Source organism: Homo sapiens, chromosome 7 (assembly GCF_000001405.40).
Source record: "Homo sapiens chromosome 7, GRCh38.p14 Primary Assembly".
In the NCBI taxonomy this organism is placed as follows: Eukaryota; Metazoa; Chordata; class Mammalia; order Primates; family Hominidae; genus Homo; species Homo sapiens.
The window spans coordinates 103,713,832-103,727,563 of NC_000007.14; the positions used below are offsets into that span (position 1 = coordinate 103,713,832).

Here is a 13,732-nt window from a genome sequence, read left to right on the forward strand (position 1 = left end):
ATTACCAATAGTTTGATAGTTCTATGAACAGCACTGTAGAAAAATGATTATATCATACTTAGATTTTTATTTCCTTCTTTACCACATGCCAGAAAATCCCTAAAAGTATTAGCTCTCTTGACCCACGGCATCAAAATGATCTACTGTTAAGTAGAGCAACATCTTGATGACATGGCAAGTCTAGGAATACTAACTCATGAACAGTATCTAAAATATGACTCCCAGTCTTAGGCATATAATGCTGTAATTTCCAGGATGGCTGGTTTAATATGTTTTTTGTTTTGTTTTCATGCTGTTTTATTCCTCTCCTAGTACAAAAACCTATGCTATATAACATTTTATGTATCTGAGCATTTTATTTAATAACATGACTACCTATATAAATTTGTTCCATTAATGTTTAAATTTTATAAAAGTATAATTGGTTATTTTCTAGTAGCTAGCTTCTTGCTTGATAATATTCAAAGCAACTTGTTTTTATTACTCTTATTACCTTACTGTACATCATATATCCACAGGGTACTTTGGAATACAGAGTTCAAGACAAGAGGGAAAATCTACTGGGAAGATGAGAATTTGGTCCTAAGTGTGCTATTTTACCAATTCTCTGATCACGGGTAAAATAAATGCATGAGGAATGGCTACATAGGGAATGCGGTTGAGTCAACGGTCTGCCTGGTTGGTATGCTCTCCGCTGCTGTCCCTGACGTCTGACAGTGTGTGCACATCCCACCATGCAGAGCAGCTTCTGGCTCTCATGAAATACAGGCTTGATTTGCCTCGCCTATGCCTGCACATAGAGGCAGCTCATGCTTTGTCGAAGTTCAGGGGCCGTAGCCAAAACAGCAGCAGTTTGATTCAAGGGTAAGAAGCAGAGCAGGAAAAAATGGTTACTGTATCGGATAATGCTTTGTGGCAGCCCAGGAGGGAAGTGTCCTGGGGCTTCTCAGTCCCAAGTGACAGGGATGGCAATTGTGACTGAAAGGAGCCCACAGATATTACTTTAATTAAGAACAGTTCCATTCTGCATGAACAGAAATCCTCTAATTACTCTTGGATCTGTCAAGAACTGTTCTTGACAGAGCAAACAAATTTAATTTTGGTAAAATATGGTCACCAAAGTTAAGATAATTCATTATTTTATGAATAGAAATTGTAAATTGAGAGAAATGAATATGTCCAAAGTTTTTGGTCAGCCCAAATTATCAATTAAACAATTATTTGGATAGGGAAGTCTAGACTTTATGTCTATACCTCTGTTTTGCCCACCAAAAAATACCCATGGGGGAATTTAGCGTTTATTAACGAGAAAACATATTTCAAGGACAATGCTGTATGGGGGAACATAATATGCAAGCAAAATTTTCATTCTAAGCATCTACTAAAAATGGATATTAAGGATTAAGAGAGGTCAAATAAAGTAGAAAAATAAAATCAATAAAAATCTTCAAAAATATTCTGTACTTGAACTAAAAACATGCTTCCTTTATACTTGAAATACTTTTTTTCATAATATATAGAAAAAGAACCAGGTTCTAAAAGCAACTGTCTTCCACTTTCTGTTTTATATTTATGTTTAAACTGAGGCTACTAGTAATAATCTCTGTTTTGACTATCAGACTTACAAACCTTTCTTTCTGGCTAAATGTGACAGTGCGTGATTTATTGTACTTAATATTTTGTCCCTCAGTCACTTTCCTGGCTGAATTTCCCAAACCTCATTAGGGGACTTCTTCCAGTTCATGGCAGATGGACAATGACCACAGGATATAAAATGAACAGCTGTCCTCCTCCCTGCTTGTGCCTTTCTCCCTTCCAGTCCTATCCCTCTTCCCTCACTTCCAAAATATTTGTATTTCTTCATTGTCACTGGTACTCCTACCATAATGGAGAGAGGGATCCATTCTCTCCCAATTTATGGAAGGCCAAGCCACATTCCAACCACTTCCAAGTGCCCACCCCCTGCAGGTTTTCTCCCAAGCCCACAGTAGTTTCATTGCCATGTTGCATGAAACACAAGGAAGAGAAATGTGTCTGGCTTTGCCAGGTTCCCTGCCAGGCCGTCCTCCTTTCCCCAGGGCCCATGTAAACTACACCCGAATGCTCATGCCTGGCCCATTTTCTAGGAGGACTAATCCCCATCCCGGGCAGCAAGTGTTAACTGTCTCCCCTCCACCACTCATGGCAATCTGGAGACAGCATTAGTATCATTGTTGCTGTCTGGCTCTGACCTTGGTCCCCAGTTCTTAGCAGGGCTCCTGCATCTTGTTCTTCCTACAGGGTGCCATTCCCGTAACCTTCACAGTGACGCCTGACCCTCTGGTGGTACCATGCCTGCTCTTGTCAATCTCTTTCCCAAATAATGAAGTCCTCCCTCCAGCCCTCCCTCTTTCCTGGACTTTCTAACAAATTAAACTCTCATTCTCCTCTGTAGTCTGCATCTGTTAATCAGCAATGTTTACTGCCATACTTGTTTTCTTCTCCCACGTGGACTCTCTCCCCACCTCCTCCCCTCTATTTGATAATGAACTTCTCAAAGATTGGGGCAGCGTCTTAGGCTTTGCTTTCTCTACAGGGAACGTAAGCACATTATGATACATATAATAAATATTCTAAAGAGCTTAAAGATCTTCTCTTTGACAGATGAGTCCCTGGTTAATTGACAAGAAACTGGAAACTGCAGGCTCAGACTAAATTCTAACAATGCCCATGGATTTCATTTAGCATACTCCCTTGCTTCAGAAGTCAAGAATGCAGATAGTATTCAGCACCAATGTGGAACAGTATGAAATCCCTAACCTAACCTAGGAATTCAATTTAGTTACATTGTTTTTAGTTCTAGGTGTGTGCCAAATTCTGTCTTATATACAGAAAGGGACACTTGTAAGTTCCTTAGCCCTCAAGGAATATTTAAGTTAGAAAAGGTGAAAGTGAATGTGCAGAAATGGTCAGTGTATCTATCAAAGCAGAGTGAAGTACCTGTCATAAAATAAATTCAGAGCAAGTGGGGTTTCAGAGATATCAGTCTGGGGCAACGGGATGAGTTTTCATGGAGGAGTGGTGTTTGAGAGACCATTTGGTCTACATCAATAATGAATTTCTTCTCATCCTGTAGTTCACTGCTGTATTCCTTCTACTAGTACAGTCCCCCCAAAATGTTAATAGCACGAATTTATGAATGAATTACTGACATTTTTCTAAGCCTCATTAGATGAGTGACAAATTGAATATCTCAAAAGAGAAAGGGGATAATACCTGTGTCAAATTGCGCATTTTAATTCATATAAAAATATTTAATTATCAGTTCTAATAATTAAAAAACACTTATAATCAATCTCAACAATCTTTGCCAGAATTTTGGGTTTAGTGGTATTTTACAGGATTTCAGAATATTCTCTTTTATTACTTAAGCTAGGGCTTAAGAATTTGGGGTGAGGTGGATTTGAGATAAATATATATTTATAAATATTATAGATAAATATACATATGTTTTATATATATATATTTCATTTAAACTCATTTAAAAAAATAAACATTCCCTAAAAAGGTCATCTCTGGGATGACAAAGCAGGATACCCTGCATCATAATCAGTTTCACACCTTTACTTACCAAATTTTAGTTAACATAGAGGTATTCCATATATAAAACAAAAAAAAAAATTTGTTTTAATATAGATATTTGAAGATCTGGAAATTAAGTCTTAAATCTTAGTTGAATACATTTATATCCAAGAATCTTACCCTTAAATAAAACACGTATTTAACCTTATAAAACATATGTATTATTTTTGCCATTAAAATTTTCTAATGTTTCATTTATTTTTGTTTTGGGCTTAGGTCACCAAATATTTTGTTAGTCTTATACTTAGAGGTGTCCATGTTTCAGAAGAGGTGTTCACTATTTCATAATAAGTTCCCCAAGGTCTTACTCACCAGGGAGAGTGATTCTGGAAAAAAAAATGAGAATCTAATTTTAAATATATTTCAGTAAGTTCGTGGAGGAAATGAGCAACAATTCATACCAAGATATGGAGGAATCGATTTCTCCTCCTCTTGAACTACCTGTTCTAAAAGAGTTGAGAGAGAATTTCTCTACTGAATCAAGTTCTGAGTAATTAAGATGTTTATGAATTAGGCTCAAGGGAAAAATCAACTGCTTTTCTTATGCTAAATGAAATAGAATACCTTTTACAAGTGACATTTTATCCTTTACATCTATTAAAGAAAAAATAATACCAGATCTCTTTTCTTTCACAAAGCAATATTCCAATTCAGCTAAGAGTATTTTTAGCTTTTGTAATTTCCAGTTTTTATTTTTCAAAATACACTCGTGTAAACAGAGTGGCTCTCATTCATCTCTGAGACTCCGTAGCATGTACAGTACAGAAGGACAATAATTCAAGCCTAAGAACATCTGTGTATCTTAATAAGTAAATATAAAGCATTTATGATTTAATGACTTCCTTCTGTCTTGAAATGATAAAAACAAAAACAAAGCAGCAAAAAAAAAAAAAAAAAATTAAACACACGTACAAAAATAAAACCCGAATGTTTAGGACATCTGTAAGTAAAACTCAAGAGAAAAGGTACTAATTCTATAAATCATGAACAAATAATAGATTCTAGTTAGCTCAGTAATTACGTACTGATAAACACTTGCATATGTATTTCTGTCTACTTGTTTCACTTAAAGTATAGTTTACTGGTGATTCTGTTTCTTTCTGGGTAATCATTTCCATTGACTGTGGTCCTCAGATCACCTCCCCCAAGCCCCCTCTTGCCATGAAATGTCTGCATCACATCAGTTTAACACTTGGTAACATACTATTATAGATGTCTTTGTAATGGTTACTTGTCACTCAGGGAAGCAATATTTATGAGCATCTATTTATTATGAGTCCCTGGGCTAGTGACTGAGGATACTGTGATGGACAAGATAGATTTGTCTGGCAAGCCAAACTATTTATTCTTCATGGTGTGTTTTTAAATGCTTTACCTTTATTCCTTGTTTGGCTAATGAATCCTATTAATCTGATGTAAGAGGTAAGCTAAATTGAACAAGTATATTACTTGGTAAATTCTTTTAGAGTGACTCAATGCAGATCTCTATCAAGGAAGTGACAAAGAACCCCTAACACAACTACCCAAACAATTTTTCTGAAGAATTAATTTCATTCTATTTCTCTATTGCTCAAGAGAGAAAGAGGTTCTTTTGCAGACCTCTATTAAATAACTAAAGAACAACATTATTTTACTTTTAAAAAGTTAAATTAAATGAGTTTAAAACCTCCATTTAACATTTATCCCTCTATTAAGTAAGTTGAAGCCCTGAGCTGATACAGATTAGTCTTCAGATAGATGCAACTTTATCTGACATTGCTCATAGCTACCAGGCCCAGTTCCTCTGCTCTAGGAGGGCACGCATGTTCCCCTCCAATGTCTTGCCTGTATTCACTCTGCCTCTTCACTTGAAAAACCTTTCCCTGTCCTTTCAAGTGACTTGGGTTGTTGGCAGGGATTCTCCTTCCTAAGAAGCCTTCCTCAAGAACCTCATTAGGCACTGCCACCCTGGGGACATATACACAGACCCACCCTGTTTACAACAATGCCGTTTTCTAGAGATTTCATGCTCTCTATGTACCCAGTGCCTTCTACTACATTGTTAAGTGCTGTAAAAACGTTCTGTTTTCTCACTTATTTTGTTTTCCCAGTTGAAGCCAGCTCAAGCAAATACTGAGCACACAACAAATATTCAGTGAAATTTTGTTAAGACTGTGTGGTAGACACAAGGTACTACCGCCATTTCCTTTGGGTCCTCAACCCTGCCTGAGAAAGTAGAGTTCGGAGGCATCTGTAGGATAACACTTTGCAAGGATGTCATCTCAAATTTTTCTTCCTATCCCAGAGGAAATCTAAAGGAAGTGGGCAAATGCCCCTAAGGCTACTACCATAAATTCCATAAGTTGCGTCTAATGAATCAAGTGAGGATGGTAGCAAATCGATGTCTCAGCACAGAAATGGATAAGAGATCTTTCACTGGAATGGAAAAATGAAAAGTTCTTCTACGAATATTTTAGGACACTTTCCAAGATGATTTAGCTGTGGATAACATGATAAATTTCATCTTGCAGAACTGCATTTTCAGGATTCTTTGACTTTAAAAATCATTGGTTAAGACAGCCTTACATTTATGTATATATATGTATGTGTGTGTATATGTATATATACACAAGTACATAATCTATATACACATGTATAATATATATAATTATATAAACACATCAGATACACACATGTATGTATACATATATAATGTAATATATGTATATATTGTATAAACATTGTGTGTGTGTGTGTGTGTGTGTGTGTGTATTTGAAAGAACTGAGAGAGTATTGCTGCTAAACATTGGCATATGGAATTTATTTGAGACACCCCTTAGTAATTCAAGCAATTTTTGTATGAGGAACTTGGGAGTCTTTTGGATAACATTTGTTATGCAACTGAAAATGTTTACAAGAGCAATATGAAAGTATCAACACAATAATTTCTCCAATTGTGGTTATACATGCCCAATTATGAACATAATTGACCACTTAGGTTATAATAATAGAATTCCCTAGAAAACTGCTTGAATCATTGTGTTATACAGTGAACATTTAACATTTAATATCCTAAAGGACTTCCTAAGGAGTGACACTAAAACTAACTGGACATATTATTATTAGTATAGATTTGGAGAATTCCACAGTACACAAGGAAATGTAAATGTTGAATTGTTAACATATAGTTTTTTATAACATAATCTTAATATAATTTTTGAACTGAGTATAAATAAAATGGCTATTATGGCTGCTATTGGATTGGTTGGATTCATTTTAATTTGCTATTTTGGTATCTGATTACTATGGATACCCACAATTATGGCATTTCTAGAATTTGTGAGTGTTCCTCAGTCTGGCCCTCATATCACCCAAATAAACAGAATGATGTCACACCCTTATACCTCGTAAACATCCATATAAACAAATGATAATGAGATACACAAAACATTTCTGGAAAGTTCTGCCCGCTATACGGTATTCACCACATACCACCACACACCATACAACAGATGGTTTGCTACTACATTGTTTCTTTGCCATTCTAACTCTTCTTGGTTTCCCCCAATTTTTTACTCTCAAAGTGTAGTAAGTAAATTCACCAATGAAGTTTATAAACAATAAATTACAATTTCTTTTACTAAATTGTTCCATTTCATTCCTAAGGATATGTTAAAATTTCACTTCTGGTTCTAAAACTGCCACCTGAAAAGATTTATAAATGTATTTTTAGTTATAAACTTGAGATCTCTTTTTCTCATTTCCTTCCTCCCTCTTTCCTTCCTCCTTCCACCCTTCCTTCATTTTCTCCTTGCCATCTCTCTCTCTCTCTCTCTCTCTTTCCCCAATTCTGTTACTCTTCCAGTCTTCCAGCAGGATTCAAATCCGTGCTTTAAATAATATAAGTTGGCCTGATGGCTACAGTCCTCAGGCTTGTGGGGAGACCAAGGGCTCTTGCTAAGTCCCATGTTTATGTCTAGTCCCGAGACCTTGGCCCTGGTGCTTGCTATGGGTTTTGAGTCTTAGGTAATAAACCCTTCATTCTCTGATTACCTCCTCTTCTTGGTACTTTTTCATCAAGTCTGTTGTAATTGGTACAAATGAAAGGCAAGGAAATAGAGAATCTATGCCATATTAGCAGTATACTATTCACCAAAATAGTAATTTTTCCCTGTAATAAAGGATAATTTAATTGGTGTAGGAGCTCTCCACCCTTGAATAAAGTACAAATAATATTAGAATTAGGAGACATATATTTTAAAATTGATTCTCTTGTGTTCTTTAATTGCTTAAAGACAATATCTGAAACTAATGTTCATCTCTCTAACAAAAAGAACAAGTACTCAGAATACTGATACATTATTAACCATTATTCAGCTTATGTTATATATTAATAGCATAATTAAACACGTTTATTGTGATTAAGAGGCTCTAAGTTGCCTGTCACGCTACAGTTAAAAAAATTTGTTTTTGTAGCACCACAACTCTTTAAAAATAAAACTTTTTTTGATTATAAAAACATTACGTGTTTGCTACAGAACAGGATACACTTGTTAATAAGTCAAAGAAAACTCTTTCATCAAAAAAACCATTATTTTTGTTTTTTCTAACACTTTACTTATGATCACACATGGACTTCTGAACTGTCTGTAAATTGTTGTAGGTAATACTGTCAACTGGAGAAGAAAATAACCCAAAATGTAATCAGGTGACTTCACATAGTACCTCCTACACAGGCTGAAACAAGGCACAGTGATGAAAAAGTGACAAATACATGACTTAAAGAAAACTGTTCTTCAGCACAATCAACCACAGTGGGCTCCTGGCTGTAGAACACTGACTTGCAATTTGGAATAGAAGAATCCTGAGAGAAACAGTCCTTTTGCTAACGGCAGACCTTCTAAGATATGGAAGCGACTGGAGGATGCTGTTCTGAGCATGGCTGGGGGACACCTGCAATTCTCATGCCATAGGAAATGGTCAGGAGGGGGTTTCGCTCTAATGGGACCTAGGCCCCATTAAAAGACAACATGTTTCTTCCCCTAGAACATTTCCTCTGTAAATTTATACAAGTTATTTATAAATACATACCCTTGAAAAATAAAATGGAAGGTAATAGAATAGACAGCAGAACTGCAAACACCTGATCAGAAGGCACCTTATTTTACTGAATGCTTTGGGTAGGAACTTTTAGCTCTAAAACAAAAGCACTTAAAGGAAACACTGCCAGATATGGTCATTGTTTTCATTATCTATGTTTGAATTTAACATAGATTATTTATGCCAAACATAAAGCCTTAATTGGTTTCTTTCGGTTACCAGTAATTATCTTTCTCACTACCAGTTAGTCAGAGCTCAGGAAATGGAACATATTTCAATCTTAATCTGAGCAAAACACAACCAGCAAGGTAATCCTGCTGTAATAGAATAAGCCAATGTATGCAAAATACATATGTAAATCATCTTAAGATTTTTTTGAATTATCTGCAGTATTTTTAATACCATTCACTGCTGGAGAGAAGTGAGAACAGAATGTAACATTTAAAAATATTTATTTCACTTTAAAAATGTTGTAGATTATTTACTGCAAAATTAAGACTTACTATTCTGTAAATCCAAAAGCATCTGGCATTATAATCCTGATTGCACACTATGTTTAAAGCAAACATTTCCAAATTAAATCGTTATAACTGCTAAAAAACACTTACCAATGGAAAATTGGAGGACAGAAGCTGTTGTTGTATTAAGGCCTGTGGTAATCTAAAGAAAAAAGAATACATAAAAATAAGACAAGACAGAGAGGAGAAAGAGGAGAAAGATGCTGGGAGGGGTACGGGGAGGGGAAGAGTTAAAAAAGAGGAGAGAGGAAATCCATTAACAGAAGTTGCATTTATCCAGTTGTTAGTTCATTTTATCAATGTGTCTGAACACAGACCTGTTTCTTCTTCCCCTGTGGGGAATAAAGAAGTGAAATCCTGACTTGGAGACGGATAGCATATTTCTCAATGTCCTTTCACAAACTGTTCTTAGTGGAATCCAGCAGGTTATCTTGTGAAGGCATTTAACAAAGCTCCTCTCCACTCATTCCACCATCTCCCTTCCATCCTACCAGATCAATAGATCGGGGACCCAAAGAGAATGTAGCAAAAGGGCTACCGAACAAAAATTGGGAGATAAACTAAGAACAAATGAGTAGAATAAAATTATTTTGAAAAGGAAATAGAACTACAATAGCTAAAGGTCATAGGCTTTCTTTGTGGAGGGGTGTGATGAAATGGTCTAAAATTGACTGTAATAATGGTTCCATAACTTTGTAAATAAACCAGAAGCCTTGAACTGTACACTTTAAAGAAGGTAGAATCTGTGGATTATTTCTCAATAAAACTGTTACCAAAAAAAATGAAGAAAAGAAATAGAATTATGAACCTAGAAATAGTCTTCTGACAAGTTTCTGCTACTTTTCCTTAGTTTCATGCTTAAGAAGCATGCTTAAGCAAAATTTCCCCCTTCTGAAAGAAGAATGGTGCTTCTTTAATTTTAAAATTTTATTTATTTATCCTTTAGAGCAGTAGCTTTGACCCATACCAGCTCAAATGAGACAAAAATTAAGGTTCTCATTTTGCTGGGTTCTGAAATTCTGTACACTACAATATAGGACATTTCAGTTACTCCACCGTATGCAATAGAAAGTGGATAAGTCTTCACTGTGGCAGAGGCAGTAGGTTGTCTTACTTTTGCTGCTTTTTTTTTTCGTTGTTTTGTTTTTTTTGAGACAGACTCTCTCTCTGTTGCACTTTGCTTCTTATATGTCTTAATAACATCTTTAGACATATCCTTGCACTTTGTTAGCCCTTATATGACAGAGTCCACAATTGCAGAAGGGTCAAGTGCTATACAATTCATGAAGAGCTGTAGGAAATGAGTGAGCAAGCCTCTTGCTCTGTCGGAATTCAGTTGGGATGTGAATATTAAAAGATCAGATACATGTGAATATCAAAATATCTATATCATGACTTGGAGAGGTGACTGAACGTGTGCTTTAAATACACGGCTATAAAGCTACTGCTAGTGCATTAAATGTACTGAAGAGTCTTAGATACTTATCCTGATGGTGTAATAAATGATGCTTGTGTCACCTACTTGATCAAGTTCCACAGCTGTGACCTCTGCTAGCGAACAGCAAGTTGTGTGGAATATCGCCAAATTTCAAATTATGTGTGCTAACTGAGGGTGACCCTAGACTTTGATTGGTTACTGATTCTAATTTTTTTCACCAGGGAAGTTTAGGACTGGTATAATGGTTGACTCTCATTTCTTTACCTTTACCCATTTATTTTATTAGTAAAATATCAGCTACAAGAAAGAACAGGAAAGATGAAGGAAAAAAAAAAAGAAGCACTGCCTATGAAATCTATTCTGAGATCTATTCACCTATATTTATACTTGAGTATTATAAATAAATATAAATTATACCTATATTTATAATTGGGTAATATAAATTATTAATCTTGAGTTCAAATATGAGTTATTAAGCCTTTATATTTGACATTCTGAAAACAAAAGGGGCCCTTAAAGAGCTTTTGATAAATAATATGGTAACTATGAATGGCTGATACATAACTTTTTTCTTACCAAATCTCTCTTAAATTATAAATACACTCAAAACTATAGGAAATTAGTATGATAACTAAATGAATCAGAAGAAATCACTGTAGGTCAAAGCTGTTCATTCTGTACTTTTTCTCTAAAATTTTTTATTGAGTTTGATATTGTTTTAGTCCAAACTCACCCTTGTAATTAAAATGCATTTTCAAATATGTGAGAATAATTCAGTAAATAGGCCTGGTGCAGAGGCTCATGCCTATAATCCCAGCACTTTAGGAAGCCAAGGCAGTAGGACTGCTTGAGCCCAGGAGTTCAAGACCAGCCTAGGCAACATAGGGAGACCTCATCTCTACAAACAATTTAAAAAAATTAGCTGGGTGTGGTGGTGCATGCCTGTAGTCCCAGCTACTTAGGAGGCTGAGGCAGGAGGCTGAGGTCATAGGATCACCTGAGCCCAGGAGGTCAGGGCTGCAGTGAGCCATGATGGCACACCTGGACACCAGCCTAGGTGACAGAGTGAGGCCTTGTCTTAAAACATAATAGTAATAATTTAGTGAAGAATTTCTTTTTTTAAAATGGAGGGTAACATAACTCATTTCATTTTAAATTCTGAGAGCATATTTTCCTTTAAATGAGTGAGAAAATGAATTCCTTTTTACCTTTATCTTATACTAACAAAATTAATAAAGTTCAGTGTCACCACCTGAAATACAGAGACTTCACTGGGTTAAATAAAACCCAGTGAGGGGTGCATGGCACAGCTGTTAAAAAGAAACAAAAACTTGTGCTATGTCCAGGTAACAGTTTCTTCCACCCCTCACTGACTAACTTCTCCAGAAATGAAATGGCTATTTAACTACATTCACAAAAATGGAGATCCTCCTTTTAGCATTTTAAAAGATAAATCCTTAGCCTAATAAGGTTCTTTGCTCGTGGTTCTTTTTCTTACAACTTCAGTAAGAATGGGCTTTATGAAAAATAAGAAGGCATATTGTTTAAAAAGTGATGTTTGGGGGCTGATAACTTTCATTAGTTCTCATGCACAACAATTTTGACGGCATTCAGTCACAAAGTACCATGCAAATGTTTGGATTTTAGTAAATATTGAATATAATGTTAACTGAAAACCGAATTCCTCACTTTTCATTTGATTGATCTGTCTTCTATAAACACAACTTGGGTACAATGTATATTTTTGCTTCAGGAACACCAATACAGTATAAAAATTATGAAAAATTAGAAGTTAGTATAAAATGTGGACATCATCGCCATCATTCTCAATCTGTTTCATTTTATTCCCTTTGAATCTCACCATACAAATTCATCTTAGGAAAATACTTATAATGGAAATATAAAAACTACATACTTTCTTATTTCCCAAATGAACATAATTATTTTGAGTATTTTCCTTTTTGGTTGAAAGGCTAATCCCACATTAATTATAAAACACAATTCAAAATTAGCCCACTGAATATATCAACTCTAATGCTAAATAAACGGGGATATAGTGAAACAATCAGGACTAAACATACATAGGATTAACTAATACTTCAGTATTATGCTATGAAAATGTGAATTTTGGCATTATATTCTTAGATATTTTTATTTCCTATTAACCAGTGGCAACAAAAATAACTTGTCAAGAATTTCCAGGAATATTACTAAATGAGACACCTTCTAAAACAGGCATTTAGTCTAAGCTCAATTAACTACAGTAAAAAAATTAAATTTGTGTTAAGGTTTATAGATAATTAATTCTGTCATGGTATATTATTTAAAATGTACTAGCAAATCTATTTTTTCAAGAAAATCTTCACCACCAGAGTCATACTTGTCTGCAGGAATATTATAGCACTTTTGAGGCTTGAATTATGAGCACCTACTATTTTAATTTGCATCCAATTAATTCTGTTTGTGTTGTAATTTCAACTAAAAACTCCTCAATTTATCAATGCTCTGAAGCTTGTATCTTTAATAAATTAAATGTATCTATTGGCATGAAAGGGGTATTCAAGCATCATAAAATAAGAACCATCTTACAACAATTAATTGGCTTTCACATTTTGATAACTAAATCTTCTTTTAATTGCCCATCTAGGCACCCCCTGCCCCACAATTTACATTGGAAGTCAGTCTTTTGACAACTTTTAAAGTTAATGATTTTGAAACACAATTGTGACAGAAGGGTGAAAAATACAACCTATTACTAGAAGCCCTCTGAAAGGGAAGATGTGGGAAATAAAAGAACAAGCATTAAAGCCCAAGCTGAAAAGCAGAAAAGTAAAGCATAAGAGATGGTACAAGAAGAGTATTAGGGACAAAGGAATTGAGACAGGATATAACAATTGCTTTTATATTATTTTCCAGAAGGTAAAATGAAAGTAGTCTTCATGCCAGAAATAGTTACCAAATTAACAACAACCAAAAAAAGGCTCATTAGCCACATGCTGATGGCTAGTAGTTTTACTTCTTTCCATTTTGAATGCTCATGTTTCATTTTATATATGATTTGGCAAGCAAAAGCTGC

The 13,732-nt window shown here is 35.0% G+C and overlaps 1 protein-coding gene across 2 annotated transcripts in view; it reads right to left on the reverse strand.

The window, feature by feature from the left end:
* The window catches only part of RELN (reelin), a 517,870-nt gene that overhangs the window by 242,043 nt on the left and 262,095 nt on the right, over positions 1-13,732 (reverse strand). For both annotated transcript variants that reach the window (NM_173054.3, NM_005045.4), the window contains exon 8: positions 9,309-9,360. In NM_173054.3, coding sequence (NP_774959.1) covers positions 9,309-9,360 — 52 coding nt within the window. The remainder of the gene's footprint in view (positions 1-9,308; positions 9,361-13,732) is intronic.